General features: G+C 40.4%; 1 protein-coding gene and 1 pseudogene across 2 annotated transcripts in view, besides 2 other annotated features; both read left to right on the top strand.

Moving 5' to 3' along the window:
- Positions 1,108 to 1,680: an enhancer, noted in NCBI's record as "H3K27ac hESC enhancer chr4:88312635-88313207 (GRCh37/hg19 assembly coordinates)". NCBI's record gives its function as "activates a minimal SCP1, AML or CMV promoter by ChIP-STARR-seq in primed H9 embryonic stem cells {active_cell/tissue: H9 hESC(primed)}" and the evidence as "EXISTENCE:reporter gene assay evidence [ECO:0000049][PMID:30033119]".
- Positions 1,694 to 1,763: an enhancer, noted in NCBI's record as "active region_21706". NCBI's record gives its function as "activates an Ori minimal core promoter by ATAC-STARR-seq in GM12878 lymphoblastoid cells {active_cell/tissue: GM12878}" and the evidence as "EXISTENCE:reporter gene assay evidence [ECO:0000049][PMID:35858748]".
- Positions 1,975 to 23,317, top strand: part of HSD17B11 (hydroxysteroid 17-beta dehydrogenase 11) — a 54,674-nt gene continuing 33,331 nt past the window's right edge. The window contains exons 1-4 of one of the 2 annotated variants that reach the window (NM_016245.5): positions 1,975 to 2,302; positions 10,801 to 10,908; positions 18,333 to 18,464; positions 20,348 to 20,454. In NM_016245.5, the coding sequence (NP_057329.3) occupies positions 2,093 to 2,302; positions 10,801 to 10,908; positions 18,333 to 18,464; positions 20,348 to 20,454 (557 nt within the window). In that variant the 5' untranslated portion in view covers positions 1,975 to 2,092. Of the gene's footprint in view, positions 2,303 to 10,800; positions 10,909 to 18,332; positions 18,465 to 18,748; positions 18,770 to 20,347; positions 20,455 to 23,317 lie in introns of those variants that run through there. The other variant, XM_011532021.2, reaches the window with a different exon arrangement.
- RN7SL681P (RNA, 7SL, cytoplasmic 681, pseudogene) lies at positions 5,989 to 6,280 on the top strand (annotated as a pseudogene).

Here is a 23,317-nt window from a genome sequence, read left to right as displayed (position 1 = left end):
ACCATCCTAGCCAACATGGGGAAACCCTGTCTACTAAAAATACAAAAATTAGCTGGGTGTGGTGGTGCGTGCCTGTAGTCCCAGCTACTTGGGAGGCTGAGGCAGGAGAATCGCTTGAACCTGGGAGGTGGAGGTTGAGGTTGCTGTGAGCCAAGATTTCGCCACTGCACTCCAGCCTGGAGACAGAGGGAGACTCCTTTAAAAAAAAAAAAAATAGCATAGCTAGAGCCTCAATATATGAAACTCAACATAGTTGAAACACTTCTTATAGTAGATCACCATGTCAGATGTAATTTATTCCTGTAGGTGTTGGACCAAAAAATTGACAAACACTGAACATATGTGTAGCCCCAGTTACACTTTTACTCACTGTGTAGATTTTAAAGTTGATCTAACAGATTTATTCATTTACAGTATAGGTATAAATATATCCTGACTCTACTTTTCTCTATTTCCTAGGAGGCTTTTGAAAATCAAATGAAATAATATATGTGGAAGAACACTTTGTAAACTTTCTATACAAGTGTTTTGTAAATTTGGATTTGGAGGCTATCCAAAAAAAAGTTGTAGATATTCTGAATTCAAAGAATTCTATAATGGGGTTCACTTTTGTGAGGCTGCCACTATCCCTTCATCCCCTATAACAACGTATGGCTGCTTAAGTAAGAGGGACAATCGAGTTTGAACTATTTGTGAACTTTGATTTTTTTGTGTGATCTTTCTGGCTCTTAAATATGAAAGTTGACTATTGTCACACAACAAAGTCCCTTCCCAAGCACTGGAGTGTCTTGCGCAAAACCCAAATCCAATGTCTGTCAAAAATGAGTTGGAAAAAAATGCATGCAATACCATTATTAAGCTCTTACTGGACACAAGCCCTAGTTAGGTCTTTTCTTCCAGTAACCAATCTCTAGAATTTTTTCAAGTCACTAGTTAGCATATACTGAATACCCATTTATATAGGCTACAAAACCAAATGTTACATAGGTAATCTTTAGGCTAAATGATTTGCTATTTATTCACTTGAATAAAGATAAAATTCCTAAAGTACAACATATATTTTTTATTTTCAAACTCTAATAGGTCAAGTGAAAAATGATTATTCAAATATACTCTTCTTTCTTGTGGAAACAATCCCTTTAATACGATAACAATTTTTTCTGGCGCTTGATTGAAGCTGTCCTTGAACAGACAAAATTTCCCCTGTCTTCCAGAAATCGTGCTTAGTTCAAACTAAAATGTGATGTAGCGCAATTTCTCAGCTGGAAGCAGAACGATTGGTCTTTTCAGGATCCTTTAAGATAGGAATCTACATTTGCATCCTCTATCTAGTTTTTGTTTTTTAGGACAAAGTCTGGCCTTTTCGTCCAGGCTGGAGTGCAGTGGCGCGATCTTCACTCACTGTAGCCTCCACCTCCTGGACTCAAGCAATTCCCGTGCCTCAGTCTCTCGAGTAGCTGGAACTACAGGCACACGCCACTACGCCTGGCTAATTAAAAAAAAAAAAAAAGAGACCGGGGGTCTCCCTATGTTGTTCAGGCTGATCTCGAACTCCTGGGGTCAAGCGATCCTCCCGCCAGGGCTTCTCAAAGTGCCAGGATCACAGGCGAGAGCCGCCGCGCCCAGCGGCACCCCCTATCTAGTGATAAGCAACCTTCAACTATGAAAGAAGCATCTGGCCTGTGGACACTGTCGGTTATCCTTGGAACTTATCCAATTTAGGAAAACAAGTGAGCAACTAACCCTCCAAGGCCGGCTCACGACACCGGGAGAAAGTGGTGTAAAAGACAATCGCGGCCACACACCGCGTGGGGGCTGCGCAAAGCAGAACTAGGAAGCTTTGCTCCGGTCTGGACTTCGTCCCTCCCAGATCTCTGAGCTAGCAAGCACTGCAGCCCGAGCCAATTGCGAAAGACCAACAAAGCCCAGCCCAGCGGAAGGAACGGTTTCGGAGTTGTTTTTCTTTGATACGGGAGTTCCTCCTTGCTCTCGCCCCTACTCTTTCTGGTGTTAGATCGAGCTACCCTCTAAAAGCAGTTTAGAGTGGTAAAAAAAAAAAAAAACACACCAAACGCTCGCAGCCACAAAAGGGATGAAATTTCTTCTGGACATCCTCCTGCTTCTCCCGTTACTGATCGTCTGCTCCCTAGAGTCCTTCGTGAAGCTTTTTATTCCTAAGAGGAGAAAATCAGTCACCGGCGAAATCGTGCTGATTACAGGAGCTGGGCATGGAATTGGGAGACTGACTGCCTATGAATTTGCTAAACTTAAAAGCAAGCTGGTTCTCTGGGATATAAATAAGGTAACAGTGTTTACTATGTTTTACTTTCTGGTACCTTTAATTTGTGGATGTGTCTGCATTTTGCTGGCAACCACCCTTTACCTCATCTCTGCAAAGCAGGGAGGAAAAAAAAATTAGTATTGCCATTTTGCAGATGGGAGGGCATGAATTAATATGTTGTATGATCACATGATAAACAGACCTAGAGGTTATAATAGTCCCAGTTACTGCCCCATTTGTAAATTGATCCCCATTTTTGCCCTAAGGATAACTCATAATTTTTTCCTGAACCTGATTTCATTGATCCCTCTATTTTAAAAATAGGGAAAAAACAATCGTTTTAGCTATATATTAAAAGAGTAAGAAGCTTGTACCTATTAAGAGAAAGTCCTACTTACTGTTAATGAGAAAAGTGGTTTGAAAGATTATACTCGCCGTTGGCTCACGCCTGTAATCCCAGCACTTTGGGAGTCCAAGGCAGGCGGATCGCGAGGTCAGGAGATCGAGACCATCCTAACACACTGAAACCCCGTCTCTACTAAAAATACCAAAAAAAAATTAGCCGGGCGTGGTGGCGGGCGTCTGTAGTCCCAGCTATTGGGGAGGCTGAGGCAGGAGAATGGCGGGAACCCCGCGGGGCGGAGGTTGCAGTGAGCCAAGATGGCGCCACTGCACTTCAGCCTGGGCGACAGAGCTAGACTCCGTCTCAAAAAACAAACAAAAAGATTATACTCAACAGAAACCAATGCTACATTGCCATAGTTATTGCCAAGAGTAATTTTAAAAAGCATCTTTTCCGGGAGGCTGAGGTGGGGGGTTGCTTGAGCCTGGGAGGTGGAGACTGCAGTGAGCTGTAAACGCCCCACTGCACTCCAGCCTGGGTGACAGAGTGAGACCCTGTCTCAAATTTTTTTAAAAAACATTTTTTACCACGTTTGACCTGTGATACTGAAGGAGTGGCGGGAAAGCATCTTTTAGTAAAAACAATAAAAGGGAAAAAAACTTTCAGTGTAATTTTTTACCTAGGACAAGTGTAGGTGTGGCTTAGGGAGGAGAAGAGGACCTAGAATCCAACCTTTTATTTGACCTTTGGTAGATGAACAAAGGGGTTTCTAGAAGATACCTGATGGCCTGAAACATTATCCATTACACACTAGTTGACATGCAATGCTGTAAACAATAATTCAAAGGATGTGAAGTTAAATGAGGGTTAACCCAGTGAGTGGCTGATGAAGACAGCAATCAACAAATAATGACTGTCTGCTGCTTAGACATTAGGGATAGGGTGACAAACAGAAAATAAGGTTCCATGACCTCAGTCTAGTAGGGAAAATGGACATTAAGTAATTACAAGTGCAGGCTGGATGCGGTGGCTCACACTTGTAATCCCAGCACTTTTGGAGGCCGAGGCGGGCAGATGACCTGAGGTCAGGAGTTCAAGACCAGCCTGGCTAACATGGTGAAACCCCATTTCTACCAAAAATACAAAAAATTAGTTGAGCGTGGTGGCGTGTACTTGTAATCCCAGCTACTCATGAGGCTGAGGCAGGAGAACTGCTTGAACCTGGGAGGCAGAGGTTGCAGTGAGCCGAGATCATGCCATTGCATTCCAGCTTGGGCAACAAGAGCAAAACTCTGTCTTAAAAATAAATAAATTAATTAAATTAAATTAATAAATAAAAAAGTAATTACAAGAGCAATGAAAAATACAACCCAGGTCCAGCCTGGACCAGCATGGTCAAGGTCTGGCATGGTGATATAGTCAGACACATCTGAGCTTTCGTTTTCTGATTGGGTAACTTACTCAACGTTTCCACAGCTTTAGTTCCTTTTCTGCAAAATGGATAAAATAACAATACATACCTCAAAAAGCTGTCAGTATGATATGAGATAATGCATACAAAGCATTTAGCACAGTGTGGTATAAGGTAAACACACTGCAGTGTTCTTATTATTCCTTGACAAAGTGTGGTTTAAGCTAAAATTTAAATGTATGTAAGAGTTAGTTAGGTTAATGACTTCCAATGTCCAGTGCTGGTTTGTACAAAATTTTCTCTGATCTTCAGTGACATGCATTTATCCAACAAATATTTATTGAGCACCTATTATCTGTTAGGCACTGTTCTAATGCAGAACTGAGGATATAGCACTGAGGAAGACATGAGCCTCATGAGCTAGGGGCAGTATGCCACACTGTATAATAAAATGTATAATTGTTAGATGGTGTTAAGCATAAAGAAAAAAATAAAAGGTGAAAGTAGATAAAAGACTCTATATGGTGGGGAGGGTAGGAGGGGAGTGTTGACTTTACAGTGGTGGCCAGGAAGGCCCCACTGAGATGGAGATAATTGAATCAATATCAGAAGAAGCTGAGAGCACAGTGAGTCCTGCAGGGAGGGATCAGCAAATGCAAAGCCTGGCATAGACTGAGGGAAGGGAGAGAAGCACAAGAAAGGTCTAGATCTACTCTGTGCAACACAGTGGTAGGTAGTAGCCCCTAGCCTCTTGTGGCTCTTGAGCCTTTCAAAATGTGGCCAGTCTGATTTGAGATGCACTGTGAGTGGAAATACATGCTGGATTTTGCAGACTTAGTATGAAGAAAAGAATGTAGAATTTTGTGTTAATAATTTTTATATAGTATACATGTTGAAATGATAATTACTTAGATATGTTGGGTTAAATAAAATATGCCACTAGATTGTTTTTTTTTTTTTTGGTGTGACTACTAGAAAGATTAAAATTATATACATGGCTTGCGTTATATTTCTATGAGACAGTACCGGTGTAGAGATTTAAAGGGCTGGAGCTACAGATGATAAAATTTCCTGTATTTTGGCTTTTTACTCTGGGGAGTCAATGAAGGGTTTTGAGGGTAATTCCTATTGAAGAGGATCCTCCAGCTGCTGGGCTTAGGAGAGATGTAAGAGGAGAAAAGATGGAAGGAACAAGTAAAGTAAGAGACTACTGTGATAATCCAGGCATGAGATGAAATGATGGGGACTATTGAACCGGGTTGGCAGTAGCAGAGATTCGGAGTAATGGTCAGAAAAATTGAGGACAATGTAGTGAGTTTTTATTAGGTTAAATTAGTTTAATTTAAATAATCTATATTTTATTTTGAGATTATATCCTTCCTACTTTTTGTGGGTAAAAAATATATTTGTTAATGAAATTACATGATAACATATGAGGGTCATTTTGTTAGTTTTGAGTGTCCTTATTTGGCCAAAAGTTTGGCAATCCTAGTTCGGTATACACATCCCACTCTATTTTTCTTGCCGTTTTATAGATTTGAAATTATAGAAGGCTGAGAACCACTAAACCTGATTGGGAAAGGACAGGGTGGGGATTTGGAGCAGTCCAGGTAGCAGAAACTGGAGATGTGAAGCTCTTGGGCTGGTGAATACCTGGAGAATGAGGAAGAAAGTGGAGTGGTGTTTGATTGTTATGAGATCTAGCTGGCAGGGCAGGGAGGGGCCAAACGGAGGGCCCTTTCACCTAGAGTACAAAGACAATCTCTTAGATTCATCCATGTAATGAGGACAGCAGTGTCCACATGTACCATATGTTAATTTAGGGAAGAATTAATGGTGGTGTCAGCTTTGTTGTTCCACTAAGCCTGATAATGGGAATTATTCATTCTGCTTTGTGATAATCTATCACTTCTTGACTATTCTCATTCCCATGCTTGGTTAGAATAGTTTGTAGCCAGGCATGGTGGCATGCTTCAGTAGCCCCAGCTACTCAGGAGGCTGAAGCAGCAAGATTGCTTGAGGCCGGGAGTTCTGGACTGTGGTGCGCTCTGCATGTCTGCATAAGTTCAGAATCAATATGGTACCTTCTGGCGGTGGGCATGAAGGAGACCAAGTTGTCTAAGGAGGGGTGAACCAGCCAGGTTGGAAACGGAACAGGTCAGAGCTCTGGTGCTGTTCAGTAGTGGGATCATGCCTGTGAATAGCCACTGCACTCAACCTGCGCAACAGGGAGACCCTTTTTCCTAAAATACTAGTTTGGAAAGAAAAATTTACAGTAAGTGGTGAGCATATAATATATGCTCAAAGACTATTTGTTGAATGAAAAACTGAATTAATGAATAACTGAAAGAATAATGGGCATAATTTAAAAAGTTTTTCAATTTTTAGTAATCAAGGTAATGGGTGTAAAGGTCTTAGTTGTACCAATAGACAAACATATTTGAAAAAAGTTACCAAGGGAAATCTTGAAGAGTTATGAGCAATTGTACTGTGCTGCAAAACATTTTAAAGGAAGAATTCATTTTTTTTTTGAAGATCTGCTTATTTTTTATTTCTTACCAACTATCTACAGGGCACTGTCCGGAATTTTTTCTGGAGGAATTTAGAACTTAAATTTGTTGCACCGGCCGGGTGCAGTGGCTCACCCCTGTAATCCCAGCACTTTGGGAGGCCGAGATGGGAGGATCACTTGAGGCCAGGGGTTCAAGGCCAGCCTGGGCAACATGGTGAAACCCCGTTTCTCCTAAAAATATAAAAATTAGACGGGTGTGGTGGCGCATGCCTGTAATCCCAGCTACTAGGGAGGCTGAGGCAGGAGAATCACTTGAACCGGGAAGGCAGAGGCTACAGTGAGCTAAGATTGCACCATTGCACTCCAGGCTGGGTGACAGAGCGAGACTCCATCTCAGAAAAAAAAAAAAAAGTTTCACAATTCAGAAGGTGTGGAAAGCAGACCAACCTAAATGAGGAAGACCAAGGAAACAGGGCAAAAGTGAGACAGCGGATGTGAAAGAAGGGTATCTTTGCATCCATATAGTGGAGTGGTGGTTAGTTGCTTGGTGGTTACAGAAAGCCAACCAGTAATAAGCAAATCTCTGAAAACAGAATAAATGGGACATAAATTTTTATTGTAAAATTTGTTCATGTAAGGAAATATATTTGTTCAAAAAAGAGAAGACCCAATCAATACAATATACTTTTTTTTTTTTTTTTGAGATAGAGTCTCGCACTGTTGCCCGGACTGGTGTGCGGTGGCAAAATCTTGGCTTGCTGCAACCTCTGCCTCCCGGATTCAAGTGATTCTCCTGCCTCAGCCTCCCAAGTAGCTAGGATTACAGGTGCCCACCACCACACCCAGCTAATTTTTTATATTTTTAGTAGAGGCAGGGTTTCACTATATTGGCCAGGCTATTCCCAGAATCCTGACCTTGTGATCTGCCCACCTCAGCCTCCCAAAGTGCTGGGATTACAGGTGTAAGCCACCGCACCTGGCCAATACAATATACTTTTAAAAAACTTTTTAAAATATGGTAAAATATATGACATAACACACCATTTTAACCATTTCTGAGTGTACAGTTTAGTGGCATTAAGTACATTTACCTTATTATGCAGTGATCTCTTCTATTTCTCTCCAGAAATTTTTCATCTTCCCAAGATGAAAATCTGTACCCATTAAAACAATATATCTCCCCAGCCCTCTCTCTCCCCAGGTCCTGGCAACAACCATTCTATTTTCTGTCTCTATGAATATGATACTCTGGGTACTGCATATAAGTACATTCATATGGTATTTGTTTTTTGTGTCTGGCTTATTTCATTTGGCATAATGAAGGTTGTACGTGTAGCATGTGTCAGAAATTCATTTCTTTTTAAGGCTGAATAATATTCTATCCTATGTGTATACAACATTAATATACTTGTAAAAGGAAATGCCAAAAGCTGCTGGTTAAGTATAGGAGAGCAAAATAAAGTTTACCTGAGATGTTGATGTCCCTTGAGGAATAAGAGTTCCTCATGAGAGTATACTACAGTTTGTGAGGGAGATTTCAGTAAAAGAAAAATATTGTGGGAACCTGCCCCCAATATTTCAATGTAGCTTCTTTCTATTTTCCATAAGTGTCAGCCGGCTGAGAAATAAAGAGAGACAGTATAAAGAGAAATTTTACAACTGGGCCGCTGGGGGTGACATCACGTATCATGATGCCCCTGAGCCTCAAAACCAGCAAGTTTTTATTAAGAGTTTCAAAAGGGGTGGGGGTGTAAGAACAGGGAGTAGGTACAAAGATCACATGCTTCAAAGGGCAAAAAGCAGAACTACTGATAAGGGTCTATGTTCAGTGGTGCACATATTGTCTTGATAAACATCTTAAACAACAGAAAACAGGGTTCGAGAGCAGAGAACCGGTCTGACCACAGATTTACCAGGGCAAAGTTTTTCCCCACCCTAATAAGCCTGATAGTACTGCAGGAGACCAGGGCGTATCTCAGTCCTTACCTCAACCACATAGGACGGACATTCCCAGAGCAGCCATTTATAGACCTCCCCGTAGGAATGCATTCCTTTCCCAAGGTATTAATGTTAATATTCCTTGCTAGGAAAAGAATTTAGCAATATCTCTCCTACTTGCACATCCGTTTATAGGCTGTCTGCAAGAAGAAAAATATGGCTCTTTTTTGCCCGACCCCACAGGCAGTCAGACCTTATGGTTGTCTTCCCTTGTTCCCTAAAAATCACTGTTATTCTGTTCTTTTTCAAGGTGCACTGATTTCATATTGTTCAAACACACATGTTTTACAATCAATTTGTACAGTTAACACAATTATCACAGTGGTCCTGAGGTGACGTACATCCTCAGCTTATGAAGATAACAGGATTAAGAGATTACAGGCATAAGAAATTATAAAAGTATTATTTGGGCACTGATAAATGTCCATATTAAAATGAAATCTTCACAATTTATGTTCTTTGCCGCGGCTCCAGCCGGTCCCTCCATTCGGGGTCCCTGACTTCCCACAGGAGAAAAAGAACTTGTTTCCCTTTATTATCATAACAGTTTCACTATGCAAGCTACTAATTCTCCCCACAGCTGTCCAGATTTGGCCTTTCCAACATTAGTTGCCATTTACAAATGTGTACACTGATTCACCATCCTCTCTGTGGATAAATGTATGAGTCCTCCTAGGGTCTGCCCATTAGTGCATTAGTTGACAATTATTAGGTTGATGCAAAAGTAATTGCAGTTTTTGTCATTAAACTAATGGCAAAAACAGCAATTACTTTTCCAACAACCTAATACTTGGCCTGCAGAATGCACAATACTAGATCTTCATCCAAAATATCTTTTGAGACATTCTCTTAAAAGTTAAAAAAAAAAAAAGGCAAAAATTGGCCAAAAGCAAACAAGCAAAGATAACAACAACAACAAAAAACCCCAATGGTATGATCCTAAACTTAAGTTGACTCAAAATTGGCGCCCCAAATTGGACTCATAACCCCTTTTCCTCAAATCTGCTGTCATCTCTGTCTGACATGTGGCAGCGTGATCTTGCCAGCTACCAAAACTAGAAAGCAAAGATGTCAGATGTGGCTCCTTCCCATCCTTCCTCATCTACTCACCAAGTCTTACTGATTTTACCTTCTAAACATATATTTTAAAGGATATTCTTTCCTCTACATTTTTTCTACTAATGCCACATTTCAAGTTTGTGTCATCTATTACCTGAATCACTGTAACTGCCTCTCAGTTTTTTTCTTCCTCCAGTGTTGACCCCTAAAATCCACCCTCCATACATCAGCCAAAATAATCAATACGACACATAAACCTGACACTATAATTTAATCAGTGGCTCCTCATTCATTTTTTGATAAATCTTAATATGACATGTGGGACCTTAATCTGAACTTCTTCTGGCCTTGACCTTTATGATCCATCCAACAACACTAATCCTACTAGTGGTTTCCACAAGACCAATCTCCTATCTGTCATTGCCCACACCCTGCCTGATGTGTCCTTTCACCCTGGGGAAAGCAAGTGAAAGGGCATGGCAAACCACTGCTGGAATTGTATTGTGTGCCCCTCTGTGTTCCCGTAACTCCCTGTATAGAACTCTGCTGTGATACTCATCACAATGTATTAGGTTGAAACTGCCAATATTCAATCTTTTATTATCAAAACAATAACAGTATTACGTGGTCCTACTTAACTATGATACTTATGTTTCTTTCTACTACACAGAGAACTTCTTGGGGTCGGGACTCTACCTCATTCATATTTGTGTCAAGGTTTTTCTAAGCTCAGTGAATATGACCTTCACATTAAAATGCTGAAAGAACAAATGGTTTAATGAACTGTGGTTAACTCATTATTTCTTTTGCAGACAGTAAACTGACATCCATGAATAGTTTTTAATGACATGGAAAAAAGTTTAATGTTACATTTTTTAAAGCCTGATATGGAATACACAGAGATACCAACATTCACAAAGTATTCAAAGTTCATAAATATAAAAACTAGTATTTTAAGATTTTTATCTTCTTTTAAGAAGCTTGCTTTAAATTCAGCTCCAAATAAAAGAAGCTAGTCAAAATACTAAAAGCAAAATGTGCCTATATACCTGCCAAAAATGTGTTGTTAACAATCTTGCCCAATTCAAATGGAAAGAATCTCACTACTTTTTAAAAATTATTTTTAATTATTTTCAGCTGTCGATATAATATGTTCATATCAATTATTACCTTGCCCTCTTTTTTGCTTTTTCTAGCATGGACTGGAGGAAACAGCTGCCAAATGCAAGGGACTGGGTGCCAAGGTTCATACCTTTGTGGTAGACTGCAGCAACCGAGAAGATATTTACAGCTCTGCAAAGAAGGTGAAATGTTGTGTTTAGTTAGAATCATATCATGTTAGAGCTAGGAGGTGTTTTGGAGATGACCCAGTCTGTACATGATATAGATGAAGTACCTGAGAAATGTTGTTATTTGACCAAGGTTATAGAACTAGCTCATAGCAAACCCAAAACTAGAACCGAGAACTGAACCTCTCAAATATTAGTATGTTCTGGAATTTTCCAGGGAGTTGTTAAAAATGTATATATATACTCTTGGGCTCCACTTCCAGAGATTTTCTTTCAGTAGGTTGAAGGCAGGGCCTCAAATACATCCACCCTGCCTCCCATGCGCCTTCATCTCACCCATGATGCTCATATAGGTAACTATGCCTGGATGACACTTGCAGAATTGCTGACAGGGTCTTCTGAAGCCCATTCATAGAATTGGGTTAGAAAGTTACAATAAAGCTATTCTTTATCAGGTTTTTATTGTAGATAGATCTATTTCTTTTCTTTTCTCTTTTTTTTTTTTTTTTGAGATGGGGGGTCTCACTCTGTTACCCAGGTTGGAGTGCAGTGGCATGATCTCGATTCATTGCAACCTCCACCTCCCAGAATCAAGCAATCCTCCCACCTCAGCCTCCCAAGTAGCTGGGACCACAGGTGTGTGCCACCACGCCAGCTAATTTTTTGTATTTTTGGTAGAAAACGGGGTCTCACCATGTTGCCCAGGCTGATCTCGAACTCCTGAGCTCAGGGGATCCACCCACCTCAGCCTCCCAAAGTCCTGGGATTATAGGCATGAGCCACGCTCCCAGCAGATCTATTTCTATAAAGCATTATTTGCCTCTTCTAGATACAATTGAGATGTGCTGTATATAATGGGGTTTCACTCTGAACGCATTCTCGCTTGTACCTGTTAACTAAATACCTTAATGGCAGCAAGGTCATCAGAATTACCTGGGCAGATTCCTTAAAATACACATTCCTGGACCTTACCCCTGGATATTCTAATTCAGTGCAGTATAAAAAGTGTGATTCAGCAAGACTTGAGAACCTCTTTGTTTATGGAATTTTTGGTTTGAGTTCTTTTTTTTTTTTTTTTTTTTTGAAATGGAGTCTCACTCTGTCGCCCAGGCTGGAGTGCAGTGGCGTGATCTCAGCTCACTGCAAGCTCCACCTCCCGGGTTCACAAGCGATTCTCCTGCCTCAGCCTCCCTAGTAGCTGTGATTACAGGCACGCACCATCATGCCGGGCTAATTTTTGTGTTTTTGTAGAGATGGGGTTTCACTATGTTGGCCAGGGTGGTCTGGTCTGGAACTCCTGACCTCAAGTGATCCACCCTCCTTGGCCTCCCAAAGTGCTGGGATTACACGCGTGAGCCACCACACCTGGCCTGAGTTCTTTTTTTTTTTTTTTTTTTTTTTTTTTTGAGATAGAGTCTAGCTCTAGCTTTGTCGCCCAGGCTGGAGTGCAGTGGTGCGATCTCGGCTCACTGCAAGCTCCGCCTCCCGGGTTCACCCCATTCTCCTGCCTCAGCCTCCGGAGTAGCTGGGATTACAGGCGCCCGTCACCACGCTTGGCTAATTTTTTTGTATTTTTAGTAGAGACGGGATTTCACCGTGTTAGCCAGGATGGTCTGTATCTCCTGACCTCGTGATCTGCTCCCTCGGCCTCCAAAAGTGCTGGGATTACAGGCGTGAGCCACCGCGCCTAGCCCATTATCAGATATTTTGAAGTAGCTATTTTGAGGTGGCCATTTTAGTATCAGAACTTTTTTTCTTTTTCTCTTTTCTTTTCTTTTTTCTTTTTTTTTTTTTTTTTTGAGACAGTCTTGCTCTGTTGCCCAGGCTGCAGTGTAGTGGTGTGATCTTGGCTTACTGCAACCTCCGCCTCCTGGGTTCAAGCAGTTCTCCTGCCTCAGCCTCTCGAGTAGCTGGGATTACAGATGCCCGCCACCACGCATGGCTAATTTTTGTATTTTTAGTAGAGACGGGCTTTCACCATGTTAGCCAGGATGGTCTCGATCTCCTGACCTCGCGATCCGCCTGCCTTGGCCTCCCAAAGTGCTGGGATTTGTATATTTCTTAATAATGAAAGCAAGCTGAGAATCAGATATTTTGAAGTAGCTGTTTTGAGGTGGCCATTTTAGTATCATTTTAGTATCAGAACGTTTTTTTTTTTTGAGACAGAGTCTTGCTCTGTTACCCAGGCTGGAGTGTAGTGGCGTGATCTTGGCTCACTGCAACCTCCGCCTCCTGGGTTCAAGCAATCTTCCTGCCTCAGCCTCTCGAGTAGCTGGGATTACAGGCAGATACCTGTAATATATATATACAGGCTGATAAATATTATATACTTATATAGTATATATAAATATATAATATAATATGTATATATGAGATGTGCTGTATAATAATAATTAATAGTATAATACATATACATATACATATATAATAGTATAATACATATACTATTAATACTATAATACTATAGTATATTATACTATAATATACTATTACTATATTATACTGTTATACTATATTATACTATAGTATACTAATAATAGTATATACTATTATTATATACTAATATAATAGTATAGTATACTAATACTATATTATACTATTAATATATAATATACATACATATACATATAATATGTGTAATATAATACATATATGTATATATGAGTTGTGCTGTATATAATGCTGTGTATGTATATATGAGATGTATATGTAGATGTATATGTATATAATGCTGTATATGTATATATGTACATATTATATATGTATATATAATATATATTATATAATATAAATATAACAATATAAATATTATATATATATCCAGGAATCTGCCCAAGTAATTCTGATGACCTTGTTGACATTAAGGTAGTTAGTTAGGTACAAGCAAGAATGCGTTCAGAGTGAAACCCCATTATATACAGCACATCTCAATTGTATCTAGAAGAGGCAAATAATGCTTTATAGAAATATATCTGCTGGAGCGTGGCTTATGCCTAGAATCCCAGCACTTTGGGAGGCCGAGGTGGGTGGATCCCCTGAGCTCAGGAGTTCGAGATCAGCCTGGGCAACATGGTCACCTGAAGTCAGGAGTTCAAGACCAGCCTGGCCAATATGATGAAACCCTGTCTCTATAAAAATGCAAAAATTAGCTGGGCATGATGGCAGGTGCCTGTAATCCCAGCTACTTGGGAGGTTGAGGTGAGAGAATCACTTGAACCTGGGAGGCGGAGGTTGTAGTGAGCTGAGATCATGCCACTGCACCCCAGCCTGGACAACAGAGCAAGACACCATCTCAAAAAAAAAAAAAAATATATATATATAAATATATATATATATATATTTATATATATTTATATATATATATTTATATATATTTATATATATATATTTATATATATATATTTATATATATTTATATATATATTTATATATATATATTTATATATATATTTTATATTTATATATATATATAAAATCATATATATATACACGCAAAACATATTCTCTCTTATTTGAGAGAGCTAAAAATTAAAATAATCGAACTCTTGGAGATAGAGAGTAGAAGGATGGTTACCAGAGGCTGGGAAGGGTAGAGGTGGTGTAGGGAAGAAGTAGGGATGGTTAATGGGTACCAAAAATTAGAACAAATAGGCTACTCTGGTTGCACTGCCTGTGAGTTAGCCCTGCTCTGCAAGGAGCAGCCATAAAGAATTTTTTGTTAGTAAAAATGATTAATAATAGTAATTTAATTGTACATTTTAAAATAACTAAAAGTATAATTGGATTGTTTGTAACACAAAGGGTAAATGCTTGAGGGGATGGATACCTGATTTACCCTGATGTGATAATTATGCACTGCATGCCTGTATCAAAATGTCTCATGTAACCTTGAATATATACACTACTATGTACCCACAAAAATTTAAAAACAAAATTAATACAAAAAAATACAAAACAGACATTCATATCCTGGGGAGGTAATAGGCAATGATGAAGAAAGGGTCAAGAGTGTCTGGGAAAATCCTTTGGTAATATAAAATAGTATATAGGTATAAATGGTGTTGATCAGGGTCAAAAAACTTAGCTTGACACTTTACTAACGTAAATATAATCTGATGAAATTCAATTCTGACTGAAGAGCCTTCAGCATGGCAGATTGATGCCCTACAGGAGTACTGGTAGACTTTTGCCCATGGCCTCCTTTCTGTTTGGGGTGGCTTGTCTTGGGCTCTGACGTCAGACAGATCTGGGAGAGTCCCAGCTCCATCTTTTAATAGCCATGTGACCTTGGGTATGAAACTCAACCATTCTGTTTCATGTTTTCATCTTTAAAGTGAGCATATAAGAATTGCTGTCTCATTGAGTTACTGTGAGAATTCAATAAGAAAAATAATGAAATCATGTAAATGCATAACAAAGTAAAAGCCCCTCATAGGCTATTTGCCACTTTTCCCTCAGTCCCCCAACACACTGTAGCACTATCTCTAAATAATGATAACTCTGTTAATAGAGCTAGGTTTCATTTGAAACACAGTGTATAACAAAATGCATTAGGACGCTAGGGTCTATCCGCCCAAGCATCTTAGTTGCTTATGGAACCATAAAAATCTCATATAAGGTATTTTTGCATTGCTACCCCTTGGAATTATGGTACTCCAATCTTATAAAAAGTAGGGCTTAAGCATCAAGATTCTATGATCTTTCTTAGTTGAAGAGATAGTTATTGATTATATTCTAGTCCAGAAGATATAACAATTATTTTGAAAAAAAGTTACATTACCTGTAATGGTCCCCTTTTGAGTATAGTCTTTTTTTTTTTTGAGACAGAGTCTCGCTCTGTCGCTCAGGCTAGAGCACAGTGGCGCAATCTCAGCTCACTGCAACCTCCGCCTCCCGGGTTCAGGCGATTCTCCTGCCTCAGCCTCCTGAGCAGCTGGGATTACAGGTGCACGTCACCACGCCTAGCTAATTTTTGTACTTTTAGTAGAGACTGGGTTTCACCATGTTGGTCAGGCTGGTCTTGAACTCCTGACCTCATGATCCACCTGCCTCAGCCTCCCAAAGTGCTGGGATTACAGGTGTGAGCCACTGTGCCCGGCCTACAAATAGTCTTTTTTTAAAAATATTTTTCTTTCTTTTTGAGACAGAGTCTTGCTCTGTCACCCAGGCGGGCGTGCAATGGTGCAATCTCAGCTCACTGCAACCTCCACCTCCCAGGTGCAAGCAATCCTCCCAGTTCAACCTTCCGAGTAGCTGGGACTACAGGAACCCACCACCACACTCACCTAATTTTTGTGTTTTCAATAGAGATGCAGTTTCACCATGTCAATCAGGCTGGTCTTGAACTCCTGGCCTCAAGTGATCCACCCACCTTGGCCTCCCAAAGTGCTGGGAATATAGATGTGAGCCACCGTGCCCAGCCTACAAATAGTCTTTACAGTCCAGTGGATGCCTTCTATTGCTCTTAGCAGCTAGCCTTGTTCTTTTGTTTATATTTCCTCAACTGAAATCATTTCACCAATGATAGCTGCAACAACCTTTGAAATCTGGCCATAAGGGTTTACATAAGCCCTTCCACATAACCATTTTATTTCTCAAATGTTCTTCCTTCTGGATCAATACCAAAATAGAATTTTCAAGAGAAAACACACATACCATGCATATATATTAGAAAAACACACATATGTATTTTAATATTATTTACCTCATATTTCTATATTTTGGGGGTTTTTTGTTTGTTTTTTGGGTTTTTTTTTTTTTTTTTTTGAGATGAAATCTCGTCTGTCACCCAGGCTGCAGCACAGTGGCACGATCTCAGCTCACTGCAACCTCCGCCTCCTGGGTTCAAGCGATTCTCCTGCCTCAGCCTCTCGAGTAGCTGGGATTACAGGCGTACACCACCATGCCCCACTAATTTTTGTATTTTTAGTAGAGATGGGGTTTCACCATGTGGGTCAGGCTGGTCTCCGATTCCTGACCTCAAGTGATCTGCCTGCCTTGGCCTCCCAAATGCTGGGATTAGAGGCGTGAGCCACCTCATTTGGCCAATATTTGTATATTAAGTACCCTCATAGACACCTGAGCAGGTCAAGAAGAGAATCTTAAAACATGTTACTTGTAGACAAGTATAAATGGTTTTGAAATAATTATAATGATAGTAATAGCAGTTTACTGTGTGTACTAGATACAGTGTTAGCTCCTTTACATGCATTATTTCATTTGTTTCCACAACGACTCACAAGGAACTTGTATTAGTATCTCTATTTTGCAGAGGAAGAATTGAAGTTTTAAGAGGTTAAGTAACTTGGTCAAGGTCCAACAGTGACTGGCAGAGCCCAAACTCAAGGTCCAAGGAAACCACTCTTCACCCTTAAGCCTACTGCCACCTAATGGAGAGCGATTGAACAACAGAACAGAAAATAAACAGAAATAAATAGAAAATGTGGCCAGCTTAATAGTGTAATCAGTTTTCCACAATTCTCTGTAGTAGTCCCTGATTTTGCCACATTAGTTTTACTTTTATTTTTTGAGACGGAGTTTTGCTTTTGTTGCCCAGGCCGGAGTGCGATGGCGCGATCTCAGCTCACCGCAACTTCCGCCTCTCGGGTTCAAGCGATTCTCCTGCCTCAGCCTCCTGAGTAGCTGGGATTATAGGCGCCCGCCACCATGTACAGCTAATTTTGTATTTTTAGTAGAGACAGGGTTTCTCCATGTTGGTCATGCTGGTCTCAAACTCCGGACCACAGGTGATCCACCTGCCTCGGCCTCCCAAAATACTGGGATTACAGGCGTGAGCCACCGCACCCAGCCTAATTTAACTTTTTTTGCTTACCCTTTGAAGTAATGTTTTAAAAAAAATGCTACTTAGCCAAATGCCTCTTGATCTATAGTCAATAGAACTAAGTCAAGAGACTAAATTGCAAAAGAAAATTTCCACCTGATACACTTGAAGATAGATCTATTTTGGACATAAGTGCATAAAATAAAAAGGATTTTTTTCCCCTGTTGACACATGGATTGCAAAATCACTTTTATCCAGATCTAGCAGAAAAACAAGAGTCATTGCGTACAAGACGGGAACAGTGACTCATGCCTGTAATCCCAGCACTTTGGGAGGCTGAGGTGGGCAGATCACTTGAGATCAGGAGTTCAAGACTAGCCTAGCTAACATGGTGAAATCCAATCTCTACTAAAAATATAAAAATTAGCCAGGTGTGGCGTGGTTGCATGAGCCTTCAGTCCCTGCTACTTGGGAAGCTGAGGCCAGAGAATCTCTTGAACCCGGGAGGTGGAGGTTGCAGTGAGCCAAGATTTCGCCACTGTACTGCAGCCTGGGCAACAGAGCAAGAATCCGTCTCAAAAAAAAAAAATAGCCATTGTGTATAAACTTACCCTCATACCTCTTAATGAATTTACTTTTCTTATTTTATTTTTTGAAGGTGAAGGCAGAAATTGGAGATGTTAGTATTTTAGTAAATAATGCTGGTGTAGTCTATACATCAGATTTGTTTGCTACACAAGATCCTCAGATTGAAAAGACTTTTGAAGTTAATGTACTTGCACATTTCTGGGTGAGTATGGCTTCTTTTACAAAAATGTTCCTTTTGAAAATCCCAAAGATTAAAGTGGGGCTTTTAGCAGACATAAGGAAGTATTAAATCAATGCTAAAGTTTTCTCCAGGCACCAGGGATAACATTATACAAAGAGATCATTTTTCATGCTATGACCAAATTCTATCATTCTTCCTCACTGACAACATTAATAATAACAATAATAAATTAATAATAAATGTCAGGTGTTGTATATGTTTTAATTCTAAGCTAGGTTCTCACATTTCTGTGTGATCCTATTTAGAGATAAAGAAAGGAGTTGGGGACCATCCGAGTCATCGTCTGTGATTTTATAAAGGTGAATCCAGTTTGCTTTCAGATTCTCTTTTTTCTTTTTTAGACAGGGTCTCACTCTGTTGCCAAGGCTGGAGTGCAGTGATGCAATCTCATCTCACTGCAGCCCCAACTTCCCAGGCTCAAGTGATCCTCCCACCTCAGCCCCCTCAAGTAGCTGGGACTACAGGCATTAACATGCCCAGCTAATTTTTGTATTTTTAGTAGAGATGGGGTTTCACCATGTTGCCCAGGCTGGTGTTGAACTCCTGGACTCAAGTGATCCGCCTGCCTCAGCCTCCCAAAGTGCTGGGATTACAGGCATGAGCCACTGCCCTGGCTTTCAATTTGCATGAGGCTCAGGCCTCATGTTATTTCCTGGCCCTAAAATTGCAAACCTTATTGTGAACCTCACCATTGAAGGTCTTAAGTTATATATATGTACATATGCCGTGTGTGTTTCTGAAGTCTCCAAATATTGCCCAAATAGCCAGTTCTTAAAAAGGCCCCTCAAAGTTTTCTTGGATGTGAGTTTGGGATGACTAATCTCAAAAGAATATTGGGGTTTATAAAAATGCAGTGTTATTTTATGCTAATATTCCCAAGTTATTGACATATATCTTTATGTTTTGTGTTTGTTCAAATATAGGTTACTGTCTCTTTTTTTGTTGTTGTTTGGAGACAGGGTCTCTGTGTTGCCCAGGCTGGAGTGCAGTGACGTGATTTTGGCTCACTGCAGCTTCAGGTTCCTGGGCTCAAATGATCTTCCCACCTTGGCCTCCCTAGTAGCAGGGACTACAGGAGTACACCACCATGCCCAGCAAGTTTTTGTATTTTTTGTGGAGATGAGGTTTTGCCATGTTGCACAGGCTGATCTCGAGCTCCTGGGTTCGAGTGATCCTTCTGCCTCAGCCTCCCAAAGTGCTGGGATTACAGGTGTGAGCCACTGCACTTGGCCGGGTATTATCTTACTTGTTTCTTCATCCCAAGCATCAACAACAAGAGGTGGAGGGCTGGGGAACATAAAAATTTAGCAATTTTTTTTTTTTAAACAGTCTCACTCTGTCACCCAGGCTGGAGCACAGTGGCGTGATCTTGGCTCACTGCAACCTCTGCCTCCCGGGTTCAAGTGATTCTCCTGCCTCAGCCTCCCCAGTAGCTGGGATTACAGGTACCTGCCACCATGACCAGCTAATTTTTGCATTTTTAGTAGAGACGGGGTTTCACCATGTTGGCCAGGCTGGTCTTGAACTCCTGACCTCAAGTGATCTGCCCGAGTTGGCCTCCCAAAGTGCTGGGATTACAGGCATGAGCCACCACACCTGGCTGAATTTAGCAATTTAAATGAGATGGATTCTCAAAGCTTTCAGTAGCCATTGTTTTGCTCAGGTTTTCTAATGTGGGCATCATATCCAGTCACCTTATTGTTGCTGCATTTGTCAGTTAGTTTGTTTTTTTCATTTATGACAGGATTAATGTTAAAAAATATACTTTTGTTTCAAAATATTCCCAATAGGTCTGTGAGTCTGAAATACAGTATTTTTTCTCTTTTAATAAAAACTATTTGTAGACTACAAAGGCATTTCTTCCTGCAATGACGAAGAATAACCATGGCCATATTGTCACTGTGGCTTCGGCAGCTGGACATGTCTCGGTCCCCTTCTTACTGGCTTACTGGTATGTGAACATGTGTTTCCTTCATTGGTTCTTATGCCTACCTTGTGTGTGAGATTTCTTACCCTGTCTAATAAGAACTCTCTTTATAATCATAAGAGACTTGAAGTTTTCCAGTTTATTATTGAGAGTTGTCAAAAAATAAGCAGAAAGAGTTGCACAAAGTCTCTTGTCTAACAGCATTATCAATCATTAATCCCCTTCTAGAGGACCCTGCTAGAGGTAGCAGCCGGAAATGTATTCAGTTACGAGCCAACCACTTTTAAAACATTTCTCATCTCTTTTAATAGCAAGAAATTACAAAGCAAGAACAATAATTAGTATTAATTATTAACATTTGTAACAAATTTAATATTTATAATTTTTAATATTAATAAAAATGGGTAAATTTTTGCAGAAATTAAATCAGAGTGAGAGAGAGAGAATATTAGGCATAGGTGGGTGATTTTTTTTTTTTTTTTTTTTTTTTGAGACGGAGTCTGGCTCAGTCACCCAGGCTGGAGTGCAGTGGCGCAATCTCGGCTCACTGCAAGCTCCGCCTCCTGGGTTCACGCCATTCTCCTGCCTCAGTCTCCCAAATAGCTGGGACTACAGGTGCCTGCCACCACGCCTGGCTACTTTTTTTGTATTTTTAGTAGAGACGGGGTTTCACTGTGTTAGCCAGGATGGTCTCGATCTCCTGACCTCGTGATCCGCCCGCCTCGGCCTACCAAAGTGCTGAGATTACAGGTGTAAGCCACCTCGCCCAGCCGAGAAGTGGCTTTTAAGAAACCACACAAGGGTGCCATTTGGGCTAACATGCAGGGTTGCAACCACACAAGGGGTTTGTACACTTCCAGCTTCGTGACAGAGCTGTGCTTTGCTAGCCCTTAGAGAACTCCTCTTCAGAATCCTCAGCTATCACTGGCCTGAACTACTACAGTCTGTGATCCTTACTGGCCACAGTTATCTTCAACTCAGCCAGCTCTGGTTTTTGCTCAGCATCTGATCAATGATAGGACTTTCACAGAGATGTGCTAAAGATTACTGCCAGCAGAAAGCAGTGTTTATCAGATATTGTTATTAACAATTGGGCAATTAAACTGAGACACTGCTTTTTTAAACATTTAAACCTTTTTTATTGACACGTGACATACATTTATAAGAATGAAGAAGTCGTAAGTGTGCAGCTCAATGAGTTACTACAAAGTGGATACATCCATTTAACTACCATGCAGGTCAAAAAAATAGAACATTACAGGACCCCAGAACCCACTCTTGGAACCCTTCCCAATCACCAGTCTCTCCTTCCTTCCCAAAGGTAACCACTATATTGACTTATAACACCTTAGATTAATTTTGCCTATTTTTGATCTTTATGTCCATGGAATCACACTATATTTGTGAGATTTATCCGTGTTATGGTTAGTAGCTATAGTGTGATCATTTTCATGGCTGCATAGTGTTGTATCATGTGACCAGACAACAATTTATTTGTCCATTCTATTATTTATGAACATTTGGGTTGTTTCCAGTAAAAATATTATTTACGAATGACATAATGTCATTTATAATGGCATTATGAATCTTGACTGAATCACTCACCAGCTGTGTGACCTTAGGCAAGTTACTCTACTCTGTGCTTCATTTCCCTCATCTGTAAAATAGGTTAATAATAATAGGCCGGGCGCGGTGGCTCACGCCTGTAATCCCAGCACTTTGGGAGGCCGAGGCGGGCGGATCACGAGGTCAGGAGATCGAGACCATCCTGGCTAACACGGTGAAACCCCGTCTCTACTAAAAATACAAAAAATTAGCCGGGCGTGGTAGCGGGCGCCTGTAGTCCCAGCTACTCGGGAGGCTGAGGCAGGAGAATGGCGTGAACCCGGGAGGCGGAGCTTGCAGTGAGCCGAGATCGCGCCACTACACTCCAGCCTGGGCGACAGAGCGAGACTCCGTCTCAAAAAAAAAAAAAAATAATAATAATAATAATAATAATAATAATAATAATATCTAGGCCAGGCGTGGAGGCTCACGCCTGTAATCCCAGCACTTTGGGAGGCCGAGGCAAGCGGATCACGAGGTCAAGAGATTGAGACCATCCTGGCCAACATGGTGAAACCCTGTCTCTACTAAAAAATACAAAAAAAATTAGCTGGGTGTGTGGTACGTGCCTGTAGTCCCAGCTAGTCGGGAGGCTGAGGCAGGGGAATCGCTTGAACCTGGGAGGCAGAGGTTGCAGTGAGCTGAGATTGTGCCACTGCACTCCAGCCTGGCAACAGAGAGAGACTTCGTCTCAAAAAATAATAATAATAATAATAATATCTAACTTATTTAGAATGCTATAAGATTTAAATCATACAATGTATTGCACTTAGCATAAAATCTGAAATCCTGCAAGTGTTCAATAACAGGAGGTTGCCTGTTGGCATTACATTTCAATTCCACTTCCTGTTATTCACACAAAACAGGGAGTTCCCACCTCTAATTTTAGCTTCCAGAATGCTTTGCCCCAGTGGAATTCATCATATATGCTCTGACGCCTAGTTTTTGGGATGAAATGAGAGGAAAAATAAGAGTATTGATCCTTTTCCCTGTAATTCAGCCCTCATCTATCATTGTCCTGAGTTACTACAGCCACAGAAAATAATTTATTCTAGCTCTAGTAGCCTATCTTAGGAAAAAAATTTTAATTTCTTTTCAGAGTTTTAGTTCAACAGTTTTAATGATTAATATGAAGAATGCAAGATAAAAGAACTGGATTTATGGTGGAAGGTGAAGCTTTTGATTCTATTCTAAAATGTTTTTTGCTGCTTGCTAAGTAATTTGTTCACAAGTATTTTGATTTTTAAAAGAAAACAATTAGCTAGCTAATATATTCTGTCAA

This window comes from Homo sapiens, chromosome 4 (assembly GCF_000001405.40).
Source record: "Homo sapiens chromosome 4, GRCh38.p14 Primary Assembly".
Lineage (NCBI taxonomy): Eukaryota > Metazoa > Chordata > Mammalia > Primates > Hominidae > Homo > Homo sapiens.
This window is presented reverse-complemented; position numbering and strand designations above follow the sequence as displayed.